The 23,569-nt window shown below is 45.3% G+C and overlaps 3 pseudogenes across 3 annotated transcripts in view, besides 1 other annotated feature; 1 reads left to right on the top strand and 2 right to left on the bottom strand.

The window, feature by feature from the left end:
• TEKT4P2 (tektin 4 pseudogene 2) overlaps positions 1-23,569 on the bottom strand; it is a 61,406-nt pseudogene that overhangs the window by 9,371 nt on the left and 28,466 nt on the right. The window lies entirely within an intron of this gene.
• Positions 4,875-6,183, bottom strand: SOWAHCP2 (SOWAHC pseudogene 2; annotated as a pseudogene).
• Positions 6,142-6,403: a silencer, noted in NCBI's record as "fragment chr21:9922701-9922962 (GRCh37/hg19 assembly coordinates)". NCBI's record gives its function as "represses an EF-1alpha promoter that drives an FKBP-Casp9 reporter gene in an ReSE screen in K562 erythroleukemia cells {active_cell/tissue: K562}" and the evidence as "EXISTENCE:reporter gene assay evidence [ECO:0000049][PMID:32094911]".
• Positions 15,127-16,082, top strand: SNX18P11 (sorting nexin 18 pseudogene 11; annotated as a pseudogene).

A 23,569-nucleotide genomic window follows, 5' to 3' on the forward strand; every position in this document is an offset into this window, starting at 1 on the left:
ACAGCATTAGCATGGGATTCAAAAGAAATCATCTTGGATTCAAACTTCCATTTCAGTATTCATTTCCAGCTAAGTTTGTGTAGCATGCTTAATGTTTCTGAAGCTCAATTTTAGTAATGGTAAAGTATATCTGCCTAAAAGACAGGGACACATCCCAGTTTTGTGTTTTTTTATTTGTATTTTATTGTATTTTTCTTGAGACGGAGTTTTGCTCTTGCTGCCCAGGCTGGAGTACAATGGTGCAATCTCGGCTTACCACAACCTCCGCCTCCTGGGTTCAAGGGACTCTCCTGCTTCAGCATTCTGAGTAAATGGAATTACAGGTGCCCGCCACCACGCCCAGCTAATTTTTTGTATTTTTAATAGAGACGGGTTTCACCATGTTGGCCAGGCTGGTCTTGAACCTCTGACCTCAGATGATCCACCCACCTCAGATGATAATCCCGCCAAGTGCTGGGATTACAGGTGTGAGCCACCATGCCCGGCCTTATCCTCAAAAAAGAATTTATCAAAATTGTATATGTGTGTGTGTGTGTGTGTGTGTGTATGTTTTAAGTAGAGTAATACTATATTAAAATGCCACTATATATGTTCTAACAAAAAACCTCAATTTAACAAATGTATGTGGGGAGAGGGAGAGAGGGAGAGAGAGAGAAGGAGGGAGGCAGAGAGAGAGAGAAGAGAGAGATATGTATCTCTGGTGTCTCTTTCTTTTTGGATGATGACCCCAGTCCTAACAGATTAGGGCCTTACCCTTTTGCCCCTATTTAACCTTTAACTTCTTAAAAGCTCCTTTTCCAAATACAGTCACACTGGGAGATAGGGCTTCAGGTTAGGAATTCTGGGGGGACATAATTCTCTCCAGAACAGACACTAATAACATGAGTGCTCAGATTGCTAGTGAATATGTTCTTGTTACAATTATTTTCACCTTGCAGTTTTAAATAATGAATACTTGGATAAAAAATACCCACTGTATTCTAATTTTTTCAACACTTCTTACTTGCATGGATTCTAAACAGAAGTCCAATGTAATTCTTATGTCTGTTTCTCTGTAGACAATGTGTTTCTTCCTCTGCCTTATTTTAATATTTTATCTTTGTTACAGGTTTTCTACGGTTTGAATATGATATTCCTAGGTATATTTTTAAAATATTCATCCTGCTTGGTGTTCTCTGAGCTTTTTGGATTTGTAATTTGGTGTCTGTCATTAATTTGTGTTTTTTTCCTAGTTAAAAAAATGAACTTTATAGATTTTACATTCTCAACTTTCACTTATTTTCAAAATGAGAGACAAGACACCTAAACTCCAAGATTTCAGTCCTGAATGCAATAGTACCAGATTTTCAAGTTACATAAGTGAACTGCATAAACATCACTAGTTTCAAGTGTACCCTATAAGAAACACATGGACATACTTGCGTTGTTTAACCACACGGTGTCATATCAATAAACATCAAAGTATCTGACATATATTTGTCCATTAAAAGTAAACACAACTCTGAGTATCAAATTAAATTAATCATTTGCCTTTTATAATCTAAATCAGAAATTGAAAAACAGGAACATTGTAGAGGTAAGTGGCTAAAAATGCTCTGCTTACTGCACACAAGCACATCATGACAAAGAATGCTAGAAGTAGCTTTCCTCAGAAGTAATAATTGAACATTTAAAATATTATTTTCTCAGAAAAGTTAAAGCTTTTAGTGTAAAAGGCATGATAAATGACATTTTAACTTAATAGTTAACTATATAGCTAATTATAGATTTCAAGCAATTAGTTACCCACATTTCACCAGAACCTTCAGTGAAAGTGTCTACTCTCAACATTGACCAGAACCTTCCTGTTCTGAAGTGTCTACTCTTTAGAGTTGCTTCAGCTTTACATATCTGTAAAACCTAAGATTACTCAATGAGAAGTTACACCTTATTCTGTACTAGATACACATAATATATATAGATTTAGAACAAATGGATGTTTTTCAACTTCAAAAAAAGTATTTTAATTTACACAATGTTAGTTTGTTTTTCACCCATGTGTATACATAACAGTGTTTCCCAAATTCACAGGGTCCATTTCCATAATTCTAAAGCAAAAATAGAGGCACACAAATGGATAATAATTCATAGTTTTATGCCTTTTTTTTAACCTATCTTTAAAGAAATTCAGTTGCCATGTAGACAAAGATGTGATGAACCTGTAACACATTTCTATGACTTGGAAAATTAAAGGTCTAAAAATCCTAAATGTAGTAGCTCTGGGCAGTTTGCAATTTGTGCATGGGTTCACTCACCCTATGGTCCGTGAACTCCCTTATCCTGCAAGCTGTAGGTACTTTCAGCAAATATGAGACTCAATAAGACTAAGGAAGGGCTTGTTTAAATTAGTTCCCCTCACAGTTGATTCTAATCTTGCAATGAACAGATTTAATGTACTAGTGAGTTAAATTTTAAAGTAATTATAAAGCCATTTACTCTATCATAAATGAATGAAATGTAAGAATCACACTTAAAACAAGTCTTTCATTTTAATGAATGGTATCTTTCATTTATATACGAGGAATTCACTTGCCAGCAGCATTTAAATATAGGAATAGTCTCGTCTTTTCTCTAGTGCCTTTTATAAAGCAGTGCGATTTCTAACTAGGTGTATTTGTTTCCCAGCTATTCAGTAACTACACTATAGGTATCTAATAGATTCAAGAAAAGATTGGAAAATTGAGAAGATTTAGCATTTTAAACATTTGAAAAATGTTGCTACAAAGCATAGATTATGAATGCATTAGTAAAATAAATTGACACCTTATGTGAGAATCATTAAGTTGGTTTAATTATATCACAGAAGTATGGGCTCACTAATATTTATACCAATTTATGCTAATTAAACCAGAAAGTTTCTGTAGGTAATTCAGCTCTGAGCACCATTTAATAGGGTTATGCCAAACAGAACCAATGGTTATATAATACCCAGAATATAAACCTCAGCAAATTCATACTTTTGGAATGGCAACACAAGTGAGAATGAGAGGCAATATTTCATTTCAAAGTACCATAGGCTGCTAAGAGTGTTCTTTTCTTTTAAAAATTTGTGTGGTTGTTAGTAATGTACCTTAACACTGGTCCTCCTTGACAGCGGTGTTAGAGATGGTTAGGTAGAACCTATATTACGGAAGTCAGCCTTGCCCATTTCTTTAGTTCAGTGATTAAAATTGAAATTACTTTTACAAAACAATTGAACTGCTGCTTACAATATAAATAGAATACCAACAGGATTCCTGTTGTATTCACATTATTCTCTAATTAGTATTTTTACATTTCCACTCTGACCTGACCTTCAGTAGTTCCTTTATTTTTATTTTCAAGCATTTTTGTGAGTATATAATAAGCATATATATTTATGGGGTGCATGAGATGTTTTGATACAGGCATGCAGCATGAACTAATCACATCATGGAGAGTGGGTATCCATCCCTTTAAGCATGTTTCCTTTGTGTTACAATCCAATTAGATTCTTTTAGTTATTTTTAAATGTACAATTATTGACTAGAGTCCCCCTGTTGTGCTATCAAATAGTATGTCTTATTCATTCCTTCTGCCTATTTTTGTACCCATTACCCGTGCCCTGTCTCCCCCCATCAGCCCCCTAGTACTTACTATGTCCATGAGTTCAATTGTTTTGATTTTTAGATCCCACAAATAAGTGAGAACATGCAATGTCTGCCTTTCCGTGCTTGGCTTATTTCCCTTAACATAATGATATCCAGTTCCTTCCATGTTGTTGCAAATGACTGAATCTCATTCTTTTTTAGGGCTGAATAATACTCCACTGTGTGTATCTACCACATTTTCTTTAATACATTAATCTGTTGATGGACACTTAGGTTGCTTCCAAATCTTAGCTATTGTCAACAGTGGTGCAACCAACATGGGAGTGCAGATAATTTCTTCGATATACTCATTTCTTATTTCTGGGGTATATATCCAACAGTGGGATTGCTGGATCATGTGGCACCTCTATTTTCAGTGTTTAGAGGAACCTCCAAACTGTTCTCCACCATGGCTGTACCAGTAGTACCTTAAAATGCAAATGCAATTGGTAAAAGAACAAGGCAGCGTGTAGTGCTTTCACTTACAAATACTACCAGTTTTGTAACAATTTGCATTTTTTTTGTCCTTGAAAGGGTAACCACTTACTTAATAAAACGGATATTTAAAAGCACAATATTCCTTCCTTTGCATGGCATGCAGGAATGGTGAAAGCAAAGAAACAGTCATCCCTTCTCCCCCCCACTTCTGGTCTCCCAAAATAGGAATGCCAGGTCAGACAGGTGGAGGAGGGAAATGGGGCACTGGTCAAGGTATGATGAATCTCTTAAAAAGAAATCCGGCCAGGCGCAGTGGCTCACGCCTGTAATCCCAGCACTTTGGGAGGCAGAGGCGGGCGGATCACTAGGTCAGGAATCAAGACCATCCTGGAGAACACGGTGAAACACCGTCTCTACTAAAAATACAAAAAAATTAGCCGTGTGTGGTGGCGGACGCCTGTAGTCCCAGCTACTGGGAGGCTGGGGCTGGAGAATGGCATAAACCCGAGGGGCGGAGCTTGCAGTGAGCGGAGATGGCGCCACTGCATTCCAGCCTGGGCGACAGAGTGAGACACCTTCCCCCCACTGCCAAAAAAAAAAAAAAAATACAGCTTTCCCCAGAATGCTAGCCTGATAGGAACTCCACCCCATCCATTCCAACCTAGTAAGGATAGTTTAGTTTGTCTTTTCTGGTCTCACTTCATTACATCTAGTGTTCTTTTTTTGTTTCTGTTATTAAATTTCAGAAGACAAACCCTAGCATTTTCTAAAAGAAATTATTTTTTACCTAAATACATTGGACTTTGGTCTTAATTTGAAGGAATAGGATAAGTGGACTTTAAGAGAGCGTTCCTACTCCTTCTCTTCCAGTGGCTGCTCTGGGTCCTTGAAAGAGGGTGTGATGTGAACCATCTGGGTTGTGAAGTGGATTTTGTTGAGCCTGTGTTTTTTAAGTCCATTAGTCCTGCCCGACGCTGTGCACCCTGGAATCCTTGGCTTCACGTCTGGACCACCTTCAGCCAAGTGGTGATGGTGGAGAGGGTCCCCCCATCTTCCAGGACGTGTGAGAGTTTGTAGGTGGTGAGATGGAGGGGGAAGCTTTTAAATCTTCCAGTACCCACCCCCGCTGCTGGGGGTGCTCTCCCCATCGTCCTTGTCCAGGACTCCCATCAGGGTCTCAATCTCTTCTGTGATGCTCTGACTCACATGCTGGGAGGCCCTTTCCCCAATGTAGTCCCTGATGTCAACATCGGCGTCCTATGTCCCCACTAGCAGCTTCACCATCTCCAAGGTAAATGGCTGCCAAGTGCAGGGCGGTGTAGCTCTGGCCTTGCTGTTCCCAGGCAGCAGAGGCTCGTTGGGGAAGTTGACCAACATGGCCAGAAGCTCCAGCCTGCAGTGCTAGGTGCCTGCGCAGGCAGGTGAGGCTGTGATGAAGCCCAGAGTGGCCAGCAGGCTGGCTGGCACGGGGGCAACCCCCTAAGCTGTCCACTCCCCATCGGAGGCCGAGAGCAGCCAGCCGTGCTCCCTGGTCCAGCTCACCCAGCCCCACAGCTCTCCTCTGCGGACGGGAAAGCCAGTGCTGCGCCGCCAGAGTCCCTCGCCTCTGCGGTGTCCTCGGAGGAGGAGCTCCCAGGCTGCTGCCTCCAGGACACAGGTTCCTCTTCAAGGGCAGGACACTGCGCCTTCCCAAGTCGCTCAAGTTCTGGAGGAATGGCCTCGGGGTGGTAGCCCCCCAGGAGCCGCCCCTGTCCGCCTCCTGGCAACCGTTGGGCGGGGGCTCCAGGTCCTTGCTGGTCTGAGGTCCCGCATCTGGGGTAGGGGCTGGTGGAGCCAGCGAGCTCTTCCTGCGTCCCCGCCGCTCAGGGCGGCCCGTGCAGGGGCTGGGCTCCCCCTTGCCCAGCTCGGCCCTGCCTGTGGAGCACCTCGGGGACCGCTGTTTCAGGGAGGGGATGGTGAATGCTGCGCTCCGCATTCACATGGACGCGGGACAGGTCTCAGGGGCGCGGCCTCAGGCGGAGGCCCCGCCAGAACCTCTTCCTGAGACGCAGGTACTGGGCGCCATCGACGGGGTCCGTGCAGTGGCCACAGCGTTCACCCGGAGATACATTTAAACAGTTTTATTCTCCTGTTTTTTATTTTTTCATTCCAGAAACCATTACTACTATGCAACAAAGTAAAAATATCTAGTTTAAATAATAATTTGATACGGTCAGGTGGGGATGAGTGCACACGTGTATGTACACACAAACGCAGGCTCTAAATGGGATATTTTGGCGGAGCAGAGGGATAAGGCTTTTATTTCGTTGGTGTGTTGAGTTAGAATCGCCCTTCTCACAATTAAATAATTTAAATCAGGAGTTTTATTAAAGCTAATTTGTACAACTAGGCAATATCTTTTCTCCATATATTTATACACATGTACACATCTCTAATATTTGCATTTATTACTTCATCTAAAAGAGCTTGGAAAAAGGGTCCTAGGTCTTGGCTAGTTAAGGTAAAAATCTATATTTTAAGGTAATAAAAACGTTTGCTATGGACAGAGACATGCAGACTCTGTGGCTGAAGCTGATTCATGTTCCATTGAAGGAAATGACATGGGGTTTTCTAAGGGAAAGCCCAGCAAGCTGCAAGGAGAGGGGAGGTCCCAGGAGGGAATTGGAGTCAGCATTAGGATCTAAGTGTCACAGGGGAGTGTGTTCCCAAAAAAGACTGTGACTGTTTCTGTGTCCATCCTGAACTGGTTACCATGAGTGTGTGTGTGTGTGTGTGTGTGTGTGTGTGTGTGTGTGTTTGTGAATTAAAAGAGGAGTTACATGCTGGGGCATTTCTGGTATCTCAACTGGCATCTCAGTTGCTGGTGATGATGGCTATACATTTTCCTCAGTATTCAATGTGCGTATTTTGAGTTAACAGTCCACCCATTGGCTGAGGCAGGTGGATCATCTGAGGTGAAGAGTTCGAGACCAGCCTGGCCAATATGTGAAACTCTGTCTCTACTAAAAATACAAAAATTAGCCAGGCATGGTTGCAGCACCTGTAATCCCAGCTTCTTGGATTGCTTGAATCCAGGAGACAGAATTTGCAGTGAGCTGAGATGAACCACTGCACTCCAGCTTGGGCAGCAGAGTGAGACTTGGTCTCAAAAAAAAAAAGTTATTGTGACATGCTGTACACATTCACAAATTCAGTGTCTCCCAGAAGTCTGAGATTCTTTTTTTCTTTCTTTCTTTTTTTTTTTTGAGAAGGAATTTCACTCTTGTTGCTCAGGCTGGAGTGCAATGGTGTGATCTCGGCTAATTACAACCCTTCCTGGGTTCAAGCGATTCTTCTGCCTCAGCCCAAGTAGCTCCTGCCTCCCAAGTAGCTGGGATTACAGGCATGTGACACCATGCGCAGCTAATTTTTTATTTTTAGTAGAGTTGGGGTTTCTGCACGTTGATCAGGCTGGTCTTGAACTCCTGACCTCAGGTGATCCACCCGCCTTGGCCTCTCGAATTGCTGGGATTACAGCCATGAGCCACCATGCCCAGCCAGAAAGTTTTAAGGCTATGATTATTAGACCATCATACACACAAAAAGTACTTAAAAAGTCTCAGGAATGCAGTCCCTCATTGGCCTGGTATGACAAAGATAAAAAGAAGTTGGTCGTGAAAATTTCTGAACGTGGTTTAGGACAAGGAGCCCCAGTAAGATTCAGAGACAACCTAGAAAATTGAAAGACAATTTTACTACCCAAATCACCCTTCTATAAAAAATAATAGAAGATGTCAAATATGAAAATAAAACTGTCCTCTGGGCCCTCAATTTTCTGTGTTATTGGGAAGGCAGACAGCTACTCAGCAGTTATATCCCATAAGAATGGATAACACTAAAACAGCTGACATCATCAAGTATTGGTTAGAAAGTGGAACTGATTCTCTCAAACATTTTCATTGTAGTTTAAGATGGCACAACCACTTAGGAAAATGTCTCCCTATTTCATACAATGCCAAATATATACTTATTTTATAACCCAGAAAATCCACTCTTATGTACTTAAACTCAAGAAAAGTGAAAATATTATTACAGAAAAATGTGTATATCTGATTTGTTCGTAGCAGGTTTATTCATGATAACCTCAAATCAGAAACTGCTTTTGTGTCTATCAATAGTGGAGTGGATTATAAACAAAACAAGCAAAGGCCTCAAACCTGTGGTATAGTCATAAAATTGAGTATTACAAAATAAAATTAGTGAATAATCAATAGGAGCAAAATGATGTCACAAGCATGTTTAGTGAATGAACATAAAAATTATATAATTTATAATTTCACTTATGTAAATGGTGAAAACAGACAAAACTATCCTTTTGTGGAAAGAATCAAAACCATGGAAGTCTCTGTGTTCAAATACTGAATGGAAATGGGCATGAGAAAACGTGTTTCTGCCAGATCTTCTATATGCCTGATGTACATTCACTAGATGTATTTTGCATATACTATTTTTGCAAATAAAACTGAGATAGACACAAAATAACTCAAGAGAAAATAGCTAGAAATAAGTAGAGTTGGGATAGAAGCCTTGGAAGCTCCCCCCTACCTTGCTCACCTGGCACAGGCCGAGGAAGCCCTTGGACAATGCTGTGAGCGATCTGAGGGCCTTCCAGGGGAGCCCCCCCAGCCCATGCTGGTGCCCGAGCTGCCCGCCGCCATCTGAATATGTTGCAAAGACAGTGCTGGCCTGGCAACCGGTGACACTCCATGCCCCACCCCGACCCCCACTTCTACCCAAGTAGCGGCAACCCCAGAGACAGATGCCTGGGCGGCAGCGGCTAAGTCTGGTAGTTGGCCAGGCGGCCAAAGGACGGGAACTGGCTGTTCACCCCATCCCAGTTTCCACGGAGAACTCAACCATCATGGCCCCTGAGCGGACCCTCAGGCCTGGGCTGTGCTCTGTGCCTGCAAACCTGACGCCATCCAGGGGAGCTCCGCCTTCCCACGCCAGCGCCTCAGCTGCTGCAGAAAACTGCAAAACTGCAAGTTGCACACAGGCAGAGATGACGGAGCAACCCCTGACCCTCCGTGCCACTCACCCTACCCGCACACACACCTGCCACGCGGACCCTGAGGCCAGTGCCTGGGCGCCCAAGTCAGGCAGTCCGCACAGCAGTGGCACCAGGGTGAAAACCTGCTGCTCAATACCATCCCGGTTACCACGAAGAGCCAGCCCTGGTGGCCCCTGAGTTCTTGGAGGAGGCCAAGTCACAGCAACCCCTCAAGTGGGCGGGCGATGCACTTGACCCTGAGGACATCAGGTACCAGGCCCGCCAGCTGACGCCACATCGGAGCCGCAGCTGCAGTCTAGACGTGGTGCACCGGCAGTAAGTGACTGGACACCCCAAACCAGGCCCGCCCCCCAGTAGCGTGGATCCTGAGACCAGACCCCCAGGCGGCAAAATCAGGCGATGGGCCCCGCCAGCAGCTGCTCAGTTTCATCCATGTGGATACAGAGTGCCCAGCGCCCGGGCCCAGGATCCAGAGAGATGCCCAAGAAGAGCGGAAGTTGAGGCCAGGTGGGCTGTGCGCTCTGCAACCCTGAGGCCATCCAAGGGAAGCTCCGCCGTCCCACGCCAGTGCCAGATCTGCAGCTGCAAACTGTGCGTGGGGCACTGGCAGCAGTTAGGGCTGGTGGGGGAAAGAGCAGCCCCTGACTCTGCCTCCATGCCTCTACAGCTACCTGACACTAGCCACACAGACTCCAGGGCCAGAGCCTCAGCGTGAAGCCAGGCCATCTGCGAAGCCACCCAGGTGGCAGCGGAGTGCCCTTGCCAGCACCCTATCTCCCTTCCGAGGAGGAGCGGGGTGGGCTGCAAGGCCAGACAGGCCCTCCTTCTCAGGCCGGGCTGGCGGCGCTCCTGCGATCCTGGGGCCGCCCGGGCGATCCCAAGAGGACCTGCGAGCTCATCGGCACCCGCCCAGAGCTGCAGCCCCACCTGCCGGCACGCGCCACCAGGGAAGGGCTTCCGGGAGCCAGGCAGCAACCGCGGTGCAGGCGCGCGCCCAACGGCTTTGCGAGGCTCACTCGGTCTGAGAGGTGGGAGGCTACGAGTGTCGCTGCTGAAGGCTGTGGTGGACCGGGCTGGATCGCGGACTGTGGAGTAGATCACAGATTTGGGATCGCGGATTGGGGGTTGATCGCGGATTGGGGGTTGGATCAGGGATTTGGGGTTGGATAGGGGATTTGGGGCTGGGTCGGCCGGGGTCGGCGGAGGAGGTGGGTGAAAAGGTGACAGGGAGGTCGGCCGGGGTCGGGGGAGGGGGGTGGTGAAAAGGTGACAGGGAGCTGCCCCCGCTCAAGAGCCGGAGGTTGGGGTTTCTGAGAAGTCACCACTATGAAGTTATTCGGCTTCGGGAGCCGCAGGAGCCAAACGGCCAACGGCTCCATAGAACATGTCTACACGGGTTCCGGATACCGAATCTGGGACTCCGAACTGCAGAAGATCCACAGGGCAGCTGTCAAGGGCGACGCCGCGGGGGTGGAGCGCTGCCTGGCGCGCAGGAGCGGAGACCTGGATGCCCTGGACAAGCAGCACAGGTAGCGGGGACTCAGCCCGGGGTGGGAGGGGGTCCCCAGGCCCGGCTTCCCCACTGCCCCTGGGACGGGGCCTTTCAGGGCTCTGGGCACCCTCAGAGCAGCGGAGCCAAACGGACTCTCAGCTGTTTTCCATCCCTCATAATTCCATGGCTGGAGCAGTTGGAGAATTTGAGTGATTTAACTCACAAAGTTAAGCATACACAGTGTTGTTATTTTTAACGTACACGTTGAAAACATGGTTTATATACATTATAGGAGGTGCCTAATGAGAGAACTCGTTCCCCTATCAAAAATACCGTGAGTTATTTCAGTAGGCAAAAAGTTCTCAGATAAGAGAGCTTACTTGAAAAATATTTACTATATTATATATATATATATATATATATATATATATATATATGTATGTATGTATTTTCAGATGAAAAGTATGTTTTCATTTTATAGGGAATTCATTATATTCTTTTTTTTTTTTGAGTCGGAGTCTCGCTTCTTTGCCCAGGCTGGTGTCCAATGGCACAATCTTGGCTCACTGCAACCTCTGCCTGCCGGGTTCAAGCAATTCTCCTACCTCAGCCTCTCAAGTAGCTTGGATTATAGGCAGGTGCCAGCGTGCCTGGCTAATTTTTGTATATTTAGTAGAGAGGGGGTTTCACCACGTTGGCCAGGCTGGTCTCGAACTGCTGACCTCAAGTGATCTGCCCGCCTCCGCCTCCCAAAATGCTGGGATTACAGGTGTGAGCCACTGCGCCCAGCCTATGTTGTTTATTATATATCATAAGTTATATATATATATATATATATATATATATATATATATATATATATATATCTGATACGTATACATATATACCAGATAAAATATGTCATATATATCAGTTATATATACACATTAGATGAAAAGTACATTTTCATTTGACAGGGAATTCTTTCAAATCAAATCATCAAACACTCTAAAATTGGGCAAAGTACACTTTTCCAGATCTGCAAGTTACTTGTGTACATAGGAAAAAGTCCTTCGCATTTCTGGTATAAGAATTTAAATTAAAAGAGGAATGAAACAGTTTTCTATCCACAATATTTGTGAGGATGTTTTATACTCCTGCTTAAAGTTTAAGTTGCTGATTACTTTTCAAATAGATAATTTGGTGGTAAGTACTACAATTAAAAAATATGTATGCCCTTTACACATCAATTCCATTTACTAAAACACCCTTAGGAAATAAAGATACATGCACTTTATTTTTCACCTCACTTATTTTAAAAAGAACCCAAAGAATGGATCCTATAAATAAACTTCAGTTGCATCCACAGGATGGAATAATATGTGACCATTGAAGGTGGCAATAGATACAGAAGTATATTGATGTGCAAAGATGTATTTTGTTATAGCTAGTGAGAAAAAAATCAATTAAGTTATACATACAAACAAACTATGGTCTTGTTTTATCAAAAAATATGTACAAAATATAAAATTTGTAATTTCTGAGCATTTGTATTTTAAGTAAAGTTCTTTTCCTTTTTCTTATCTGTGATTGCTGCAGTGAGCATGTACAAAACTTCTAGTAAAGTTTATTAATAAAGAAATAATCCTTGGGAAGACAGGAATATGAATCTTACAATATTAAAAATAATTTCTCACTTTCTATTTTTTATCATTATTGAGTGTATTGTTATCTTCTTTGAACTTTTAGCCTCTTCAGAAGTAAAAAGGGAATATTTTTATCTGTTTCCAGATTTTATTATCTATATATTTTATTATGTACATATGTTTTTCTTATGTATTCATTCAATTTATGCAAACAATGATAGATTAATCATTTCATTTTAATTGTATTCTTAAATAAAAATAACATATAAATATTACTATTGCAAAAATATTGCTTTATAGGAGTTTATTTAAAAATATTGAACTCCCCAACTGTATTTTTCCATTCTTTCATTCCATTTATTCATCAAACATAACCTGAGTATCTGTTATGTAGCAGACATATTCTGCTGTCTCTCAGGTCCCTTCTATCCTTAAAAACTTCATGTTTACCTGCCCTGCCTGCACAAGCTGAGAGATTTAAAATAGGAATATTGGGACTTAATCTCCTTGAAACTTTGTCACCCAACTTTCAAACAAAAGCATTTCTGAAGTTAGAAAATAGTAGAAGATAAGCTTTAACTGCCCACTCAAAAGTTTATCAGTCTTAAATATTAATATTAATCATGGGAATGTCTTATTTACATATATTCTGTAAGCATAAATATTGAATAAAATGAACCATATGTATTCATTTGAATCATGAGTTTCCTTTGTCTTCAATTTGTTTGAAAATCAAGGAATTAATTTGTTTGAAAAATGCATTATTATTATTTCAGTGTTCTATCCCCATAGTACCTTTAAGCAGGCGGACAAGCCAGCAACCTCACCCGCTCAAGGAAGCCCAGATGGCCAGGTTCCAACAGCATGAGTAGCTGCCACCTGATGGCTGATGGAGCAGAGTCCTGAGGAAAAGCAGATGGCACTGGGGCCCTAACTCTAGGGCAGAAGAACTGATGTACTGTGACTGGCAGCATGTGAGGTTGGTGATTGGCCCACCTGTTCCTGGCACACCCTTGAAGAGGTGGCTGGTTGCTCTTTGAGCCAGCTTGGCCTTGCCTGGCATGCACAAGCCTCGGTGCAACAACCGTGCTACAAATGGAGCCATATATAGGAAAGGAGCAGGAGGCTCAGGAGCAGGGTGTGCACTGCCTTTGGGGCTCCAGTGCATGCCTCAGGGCTCCTATGGCACTGCAGGCTTCTTTGTTGCCAAGAGGCAGACCACAGGCCGTCTTGAGGAAGACTTTATGTACAAGTGCAGAAAGCAGCCAGGATTACCACCCAGGGGACTTGGTCTTCTGTGGCCCTGGCCTGACAGAATTTGGCCCAAGGCAGGACAAGGTCACTCAGAGCAGTGTGTCAGTAGGTGGGGCCTGGGCATGCGAGGCAAGGCCAAGCTGGCTCAAAGAGCAAGAAGCCACCTCTGCAAGGGTGTGCCTGGAGCAGGTGGACCAGCCACCAACCTCACCCACTGAAAGAAGCCAGGATGGCCAGGTTTCCACAGCCTGAGTGGCTGCCTCCTGATGGCTGATGGAGCAGAGGCCTGAGGAAAAGCAGGTGGCACATTTAACTCTTTAATCCATCTTAAGTTAATTTTTGTATAAAGCAGATGGCACCAGTCCATGCCTCAGGGCTCATATGGCACTGTGGGCCACAGAAGGGTGAGTCCCCAGGGTGGTAATCCTGCCTGCTTTCTGCACTTGAACATAAAGTCCTCTTCAAGACGGCCTGTGGTCTGCCTCTTGGCCCCACCTTTAGGGTAGAAGAACTGATGTACCACGTCTGGCAGTGAGTGAGGTTGGCGGCTGGTCAATCTGCTCCTGGCACACCCTTGCAGAGGAGGCTGCTTGCTCTTTGAGCCAGCTTGGCCTTGCCTGGCATGCACAAGCCTCACTGCAACAAGTGTGCTACAAATGGAGCCATATAGAGGAAATGATCAGCAGTCTCAGGAAAGGGGCGTGCACTGCCTTTGTGGCTCCAGTCCATGCCTCAGGGCTCGTATGGCACTGTAGGTTTCTTGGTCGCCAACAGGCAGACCACAGGCTTTCTTGAGGAGGACTTTATGTTCAAGTGCAGAAAGCAGCCAAGATTAGCACCCAGGGGACTGGGCCTTCTGTGGCCCTGGCCAGACTTAGAATTTGACCCAAGGCAGGACAAGCTGACTCGGAGCAGAGTGTCAGTACCTGGGGCCTATGCATGCCAGGCAAGGCCAAGCTGGCTCAGAGCAACTAGCCACATCTGCAAGGCTGCACCTGTAGCAGGCAGACAAGCCAGCAACCTCAGCTACTCAAGGAAGGAGGGATGGCCAGGTTCCCACAGCCTGAGTGGTTGCCGCCTGATGACTGATAGAGCAGAGGCCTGAGGAAAAGCATATGGCACTGGGGCCCTACCTCTAGGGTAGAAGAACTGATGTAAGCTGACCGGCAGCAAGTGAGGTTGGTAGCCGGTCCACCGGTTCCTGGCACAACCTTGCAGAGGTGGCTGGTTGCTTTTTGAGCCAGCTTGGCCTTGCCCGGCATGCACAAGTCTGTGCAACAACTGTGACACAAATGGAGCCACACAGAGAAAATGAGCAGCAGGCTCAGGAGCAGGGTGTGTGCTTCCTCAGGAGCCCCAGTCCATGCCTAAGGGTTCATATGGCACTGTGGGCTTCTTGGTTGCAAAGAGGTAGACCACAGGCCATCTTCAGGAGGTCTTTATGTGGAAGTGCAGAAAGCAGCCAGTATTACCACCCGTGGGACTCGGCCTTTTGTGGCCCTGGCCTGACAGAATTTGGCCCAAGGCAGGACAAGCTCACTCGGAGCAACATGTCAGAACCTGGGGCCTGTGCATGCCAGGCAAGGCCAAGCTGGCTTAAAGAGCACCCAGAGCATCCATTCTGGTGGATAAGCCAACCACATGGCCAGCTTCTGGGTGTGGACACAGTGCCACATCTTCCATCGCTTTCTGACGTATCCCACCAACACTGAAGAGACAGCCTGGAGAGAGTGCAAGAGGAAGGCTGAGAAGGATCAGATAGTGAGTGCTGGCTTCTTTCTGACCCTCAGCACAACCCCAGGTGGTGACCATCAACCTTTAGGGGTGGGAGAGCAAGACTGATGGCTTCAAACGCTTCCCCAAGAAGATGGACACAGGCCACTCAGCTCATCCTCACAGCCAATGAGTTGACAAGCAAGCAGATGACAGTGACAGGCTTTTAGAAAGAGCATCAGAAGGTGGCCAGTTTTTCTTCAGCCTCAGCCAGGCCTTGGAACTTGACTAGGCCATCCACTTCACCAGAGATGCCTTCAAGAACATCAGTAAGCTCTTTGCCAATGAGTCCAGGAAGGACCTTGGACCCAGCCATGGACCTGTTAGTGCTGTCTCAGGGACACCAGACCAACATCCTGGACATCATCCTCATACACAAGGAAGCTCTTACCAAAGTCACGGAGAACAGGCAACATGTGGCAGAAGTGAAGACAGAGGAGCAGAGGCTGATGGTGTCATTATCACAGGAACAGGATTTCTTTGGCCACTTTGGCTGAAATTCACCACTTCCATCCAATTCACTCAAGCGAGAGACTTGAAATCACAGATGGACCATTTCTTGCAACAAGAGATACTATTTTTTCAAAAAGTCACCTAAAATTTGATAGTGTTGAATGACTAGCTATTCTATTGTGGACTTTTTCCAGTTCACGGGTACTTTCTACAGCAGAATGATAACAGTATCAAAGAGCTAGTGCCAGCTATCGGTGGTAGTACAAGGATGACTTTGTGCTCAACTGAAACCCAGCTGAATATAGACTTGTGTAGGAAAGTGTTAATATGGTGATAGAATAGAAACAGTAGCAAATGAACTAAATCATACTATGAATGCCTACACTACCATTATAACTTTTTGAAGAATGATAATACTACTTACTTTATTGCCTTTTGAAGTAGGAATATTTTAGTGGATATGCTATAGACCTGAAACCCTATAAAGAATCCCAAAGAAGCTGGCTGGATAAAGCCTGCTATGGATGTCTTTATACTCAAAGACTGATGAGGCAATTCGAATATGTGTCCCCACCAAATCTCATGTTGAGTTATGCTTCCTAATGTTGGAGGTGGATCCTGGTATAAGATGACTGAATCATGAAGGCAAATTTCTCATGAGTGGTTCAGCACCATCCCCTTGGTACTGTCCTCACAATCATGAGTGAATTCTCGTGAGATCTGGCCACTGAAAACTCTATATCACTCCCTACTCTCCGTGATTTCCTCTTGCCATATGAGACAATTCACTCTTTCATTTACCTTGCACAATGATTGAAAGATTTCTGAGGCCCCCCAGAAGCAGAAGCACTAAGCTTCTTGTCCACTCTGCAGAACCATGAGCCAATTAAACCTCTTTTTCAAAATAAATCTTACCAAAAATGGCAAATGAGGACTGCAGCATTGCTATAAAGATACCTGAAAATGTGGAAGCAACTTCGGAACTGGGTAATGGGTAGAGGTTGGAAGAGTTTGGAGGGCTCCAAAGAAGACAGACAGATGAGAACATTTTTGGACCATCTTAGAGACTGGTTAAATGGCTGTGACAAGGATGCTGACAAAAACATGGACAGTGAAGGCCAGGCTGAGGGGGCCTCAGATAAAAATAAGAAGCTTTCTGGAAAATGTCTCTCTTTTGGATATGGAAAACTTACACAATGCCTGTACCATCATTGTACCTTAGACGCAGTGAACTTGCTTTTTATTTCAGAGACTCGTAGGCAAAAGAGAATGTAGCCTTGACCCAGATGAGACTTTGGACTTTGTAACTTTGAGTTAATGCTGAAATGAGTTAAGACTTTGGGAGACTGCTGGCAAGGCATGACTGTATTTTGCAATGTGAGAAGGACATGAGATTTGTGGGGTCAGGGACAGAATAATACGGTTTTTCTCTATGCCCCTTCCAAAACTCCTGTGAAAGTACACTCCCTAATGTTAGAGTCGGGGCCTAGGTGGAAAAAGCTTTAATCATAAAGGGGTGGGAGTGGATCCTTCACAAATGGCAAAGCACCAAGCCCTTAATGCCATCCTCCTGATAGTGAGTGAGTTCTCATGACATCTAGTAGTTTAAAAGGCTGTGGAACCTCTTTCCTCTCTCTGTCTTGTTCCAACTTTTGCCATATGAAACATGTCATTGCCACTTGGATTTCTGGCGTGGTTAGGAGGGGCCTGATCAGTGTGGGCCTGGTCAGTAGACCTAGGTCAGTGAGGACTATTTAGTGGGATCATGGTCAGCAGGGGTCTGCTTAGAGACGGTCTCATTAGTGGGGTCTAGTAGTGGGGGTTTTGGTGAGTGGGGACCTATTGGCTGCCAGTCGTTTGGTGTCTGGTCAGTGCAAACCTGGGCTGTGGGGCTTGATCAGTGGAGACCTGGTCAGCTGGGGCTTAGTGCTGGTCTGGTCAGCATGGGCTGGGGCACTGGTGACCAGGTCAAGGGGTGCTACTCAGTGCAGGACTGGGCACATGAGACTTAGTCAGCAGACCCTGGTGGGCGTGTCCTCATCAGTGAGGCCCTTGTCAGTGGGGTCCTGGTCAGGGCCGCCTTGCCAGTGGGACCTAATCTGTAGTGTCCTAATCAGAGAGGACTTGGTCAGTGGTGACTTTTGTAGCACTGGTCTACAGGGTGACCTGGTCAGCGGGGATCTCAGCATTTGGTGCCAGTTCAGTGGGGTCTACTCACTAGGGTCCCAGTCAGGGGCATCTGGTGACCTTAGGCCTGGTTATTAGGGGCCTGATCAGTGGCAACCTGTTCCCTGGAGGCCTGGTCAGTGGGGCCTCATCTTTGGGGCCAGGGAATGAGGTCATGATCAGTGGAACCTGATCAGTGAGGCCTTGTCAATAATGACCTAGTCAGTGAGGACTTGTCAGTAAGGACTTGGTCCGTGAGGCCTTGTCAGTAAGGTCCTGGTCGGTGGAGTCCTTGTCATTGTGTGCCCGGCAGTGGGGGCCTTGTTAGTGGGGCCTGGTCATGAGGGTCTAATCAGTGAGGGTGTCGTCAGGGAGGACCTGATGTGTGGGGTCTGGTCAGCAGGGACCTGGTCAATGTGGGCTGCTGAGCACTGCTTGGATAAGCCAGGTGCAATGTGCATTATTGAAGGCCCTGTGGACAGCTGGGATAGCCCAGTGATGCCCAAGGGCCTAGTCAAAAGTGGACAAAGCACGTGTTTGGATGGACCTGGGAGATCCTGCTCAGAGATTCTGACAGGACAAAGGTAAAGGAAGGGCTAGAGTGGCTGCAGAGATGGTCACAGTCTATGGGCTGCACAGGATGAAGGAGGCCAGGGAACAGGCAGGGTGGGCAGTTGGGGTTCAGGGAGAGGCAGGTGCATGCTGGGAGGTCAGACCCTGTGAGGGCTTTGGGGGCGTCAGGTTGGGTAGGCTCCAGGCACTCTCACTCACATAGGATTCCAGAACACTGCTACAAGGCTCTGAGTGTTTGTCCCTCACATAGGATTCCAGAACACTGATGCCATTGTCTGAATGTTTGTCCCCCACATAGGATTCCAGAAGCCTGCTGCTGGGGTCTGAATGTTTGTCCCCCATCTAGGATTCCAGAACACTGCTGCGAGGGTCTGAATGTCTGTCCCTCACATATGATTCTAGAACATTGATGCTAGGGTCTGTATGTTTGCCCTTAACATATGATTTCAAAACACTGCTCCTGAATTCTGAATGTTTGTCCTTCACATAGGAATACAGAACACTGCTGCTGGAGTCTGGAAGTTTGTCACTCACATAGAATTCCAGAACACTGCTGTGAGGATCTGAATGTTTGACCCTCACATGGGATTCCAGAACACTGCTGCGAGGGTCTAAATGTCTGTCCCTCACATAGGTTTCCCGAACAATGTTATGAGGTTCTGAATGTTTGTCCCTAACATAGGATTTCAGAGCACTCCTGCTGTGCTCTGAATGTTTCTCCTTCACATAGGATTCCAGAACACTGCTACGAGGGTCTGAATGCTTATCCCTCATATAGGATTCCAGAACACTCCTGCTGTGTTCTGAATGTTTGTCCCTCACATAGGATTCCAGAACATTCATGCTGGGGTCTCAATGTTTCCCTTAACATAGGATTTCAGAACACTCTTGGGGTCTGAATGTTTGTCACTCACATAGGATTACAGAACACTGCTGCTGGAGTCTGAATGTTTGTCAGTCACATAGAATTCCAGAACACTGCTACAAGGGTGTGAATATTTCTCCCTCACCTAGTATTCCAGAACACTGTTGCAAGGGTCTGAATGTTGGCCCGTCATATAGGATTCCAGAACACTGCTGCTGTGGTCTGAATGTTTGTCCCTCACATAGAATTCCGGAACACTGCTACAAGGGTCTGAATGTTTGTCCTTCACATACCATTCCAGAACACTGCTGCCGTGGTCTGAATGTATGTCCCTCACATAGGATTCCAGAACACTGCCACGTGGGTCTGAATGTTTGCCCTCACATAGGATTCCAGAACACTACTGCTGGGGTCTGAATGTTTGACCCTCACATAGGATTCCAGAACACTCCTGCTGTGGTCTGAATGACCCTCACATAGGATTCCAGAACACTCCTGCTGTGGTCTGAATATTTGTCCCTCACATAGGACTCCAGAACACTGCTAAGATGGTCTGAATGTCCCTCACATTGTATTCCAGAACACTCCTTCTGTGGTCTGAATGTTTGTTCCTCACATAGGATTCGAGAACACTCCTGCTGTGGTCTGAATGTTTGTCCCTTACCTAGGATTCGAGAACATTCACACTGGGATGTAAATGCTTGCCCTTAACATAGGATTTCAGAACACTGCTCCTGGGGTCTGAAAGTTTGTCCCTCACATAGGATTCCAGAACTCTCCTGCTGTGGTCTGAAAGTTTGTACCGCACATAGGATTCCAGAACACTGCTGCTGTGGTCGGAATGTTTTTCTGTCACATAGGATTCCAGAACACTGCAGCTGGGTTCTGAATGTTTGTCCCTCACATAGGATTTCAGAACACTGCTACGAGGGTCTGATTGTTGGTCCCTCACATAGGATTCCTAAACACTGCTGCTGGGCTCTGAATGTTTGTCCCTCACATTGGATTGCAGAACACTACTGCTATGGTCTGAACGTTTGTCCGTCACATAGGATTCCAGAACGCTCCTGCTGTGGTCTGAATGTTTGTCTGTCACATAGGATTCCAGAACACTGCGGCTGGGGTCTGAATGTCCCTGACATAGGATTCCAGAACATTGCTATGAAAGTCTGAATGGTTGTCTTTCACATAGCATTCCAGAACACTGCTACGAGGGTCTGAATGTTGGTCCCTCACACAGGATTCCAGATCCCTCCTGCTGGGGTCTGAATGTTTGTCCCTCACAAAGGATTCCAGAACACTGCTATGAGGGTCTGAATATTTGTCCCTCACATAGGATTCCAGAACACTCCTGCTGTGGTCTGAATGGTTGTCCCTCACATAAGATTCCGGAACACTTCTGCTGTGGTACGAATGTTTGTGTCTCACGTAGGATTCCAGAACACTGCTACGAGGGTCTCAATGTTTGCCCCTCACATAAGATTCCAGAACACTGCTGCTGGGGTCTGAATGCTTGTCCCTCACATACGATTACAGAACACTGTTGCTGGGGTGTGAATGTTTGTCCCTCACATGGGATTCCAGACCACTGCTGCTGGGGTCTCAATGTCTGTCCCTCAAAAAAGGATTCCAGAACACTGTTACAAGGGTCTGAATTTTTGTTCCTCACTTAAGACTGCAGAACACTGCTTCGAGGGTCTAAATGTCTGTCCTTCACATAGGATTCCAGAACACTGCTACGAGGGTCTGAATGTTTGTCCTTCACATAACATTTCAGAACTGCCATGGTCTGAATGGTTGTCCCTCACATAGTATTCCAGAACACTGCTATGAGGGTCTGAATGTTTGTACCTCACATAGGATTCCAGAACACTGCTATGAGTGTCTGAAAGTTTGTCCCTCACATAGGATTCCAGAAGACTGCTGCTGGGGTCTGAATGTCTGTCCCTCACATCGGATTCCAGAACACTGCTGCTGGGGTTTGAATGTCTGTCCCTCACATAGAATCCCAGAAGACTGCTGGGAGGGTCTGAATGTTTGTCCCTCACATAGGATTCCAGAACACTGCTACAAGGTTCTGAATGTTTGTCCCTCACATAGGATTCCAGAACACTGCTACGAGGGTCTGAATGTTTGTCCTTTACATAGGATTCCAGAACACTCCTTCTGGGGTCTGAATGTTTGTCCCTCACATAGGATTCCAGAGCACTCCTGCTGTGGTCTCAATGTTTTTTAATCACATAGGATTCCAGAACACTTCTACAAGGGTCTGAATGTTTGTCCCTCACATAGGATTCCAGAATATTCCTGCTATGGTCTTAATGCTTGTCCCTCACATAGGATTCCAGAACATTCATGTTGGGGTCTGAATGTTTGCCCTTATCATAGGATTTCAGAACAGTGCTCCTGGGGTCTGAATGTTTGTTCTTCATATAGGATTTAAGAACACTCCTGCTTTGGTCTGAAAGTTTGTCCCTCACATAGGATTCCAGAACTCTCCTGCTGTGGTCTGAAAGTTTGTCCTTCACGTAGGATTCCAGAACACTGCTGCTGTGGTTTGAATGTTTGTCCCTCACATAAGATTCCAGAACACTGCTACGAGGGTCTGAATGTTTGTCCCTCACATAGGATTCCTGAGCATTGTTGCCGTGGTCTGAATGTTTGTACCTCACATAGGATTCCAGAACAGTGCTACGAGGGTCTGAATGTTTCTCCCTCACATAGGATTCCTGAGCATTGTTGCCGTGGTCTGAATGTTTGTACCTCACATAGGATTCCAGAACAGTGCTACGAGGGTCTGAATGTTTCTCCCTCACATAGGATTCCAGAACACTTCTGCTGGTGTCTGAATGTTTGTACCTCACATAGGATTCCAGAACACTGCTGCTGGGGTCTGAACGTCTGTCCCTCAGATAGGATTCTAGAACACTGCTGTTGGGGTTTGAATGTCTGTCCCTCACATAGAATTCCAGAACACTGCTGCGAGTGTCTGAATGTTTGTCCCGCAGATGGGATTCTAGAACACTGCTGTGAGGGTCTAAATGTCTGTCCCTGACATAACATTCCAGCACACTGCTACAAGGTTTTGAAATGTTTGTCCCTCACATAGGATTACAGAGCACTCCTGCTGTGGTCTGAATGTTTGTCCCTCACATAGGATTCCAGAACACTCCTGCTGTGGTCTGAATGTTTGCCCCTCACATAGGATTCCAGAACATTCCTGCTGTGGTCTGATTGTTCCTCAAATAGGATTCCAGAACACTGCTACGAGGTTCTGAATTTTTGCCCCTCACATAGGATTGCAGAACACTGCTACAAGGGTTTGAAAGTTTTCCCCTCACATAGGATTCCACAACACTCCTGCTGTGATCTGAATGTTTGTCCCTCACATAGGATTCTCGAGCACTCCTTCTGTGGTCTGAATGTTTTTTCCTCACATAGGATTCCTGAAGACTGCTGCTGTCACTATAGTCGTTGCGAGTGTCTGAATGCTTGACCTTCACCAAACACTAAATATCCTGCCCCTTTAGTCTTGGACTTTCCAGCCTCCAGATCTGTGAGCAATAATCTCTGTTGTTTATGAATTACTCAGTCTAAAGTATTTTGTTATAGTAGCCTAAAGAGACTAAGAGAGCATCACCTGCCCTGTCACCTCATCACCGCATTACTAAAGCTATACTAACAGCAGTCACCTTTAGTGGGTGCTTCATGCATGAGAATAAAGGGAAAAAATTGCAAGGCATACTAAAATCCAAAAAAAGAAAAAAATACAATTTGTGTCAACAGAGCAAGCTTCAGAAGCAGACAAAGATATGATTTTGGAATTTTTTTTAAACCTCTGGAGAATATGCTAAGGGCCTAATGAATGAAGTAGACAGCATTCAAGTGTAGATGGGTAATGTAATCAGAAAGACAGACATCGCAAGAAACTTCAACATAATGTAGTGGTAAAAAATGTGGTAAATAACTGAAGAATACCTCTGATGGCTTATTAGTAGACTGGACTCAGCTGAGTAAAGAATCTCTGAGCTTGAGGATTTATCATCAGAAACTTTGAAAACTAAAGAAAAGAAACACTGAAAAGAACAGAAGATGATATCCAAGACTGTGGGACAACTACAAAAGGTGAAACAGAGTAATGAGAATACCAGGAGGAGAAGAAATAGAAGAAAGTTCTGCAACAACCATGTCTGAGAACTTCCAGTATTAATGTCAGACACCAAACCAAAGATC

Source organism: Homo sapiens, chromosome 21 (genome assembly GCF_000001405.40).
Source record: "Homo sapiens chromosome 21, GRCh38.p14 Primary Assembly".
Taxonomy (NCBI): domain Eukaryota; kingdom Metazoa; phylum Chordata; class Mammalia; order Primates; family Hominidae; genus Homo; species Homo sapiens.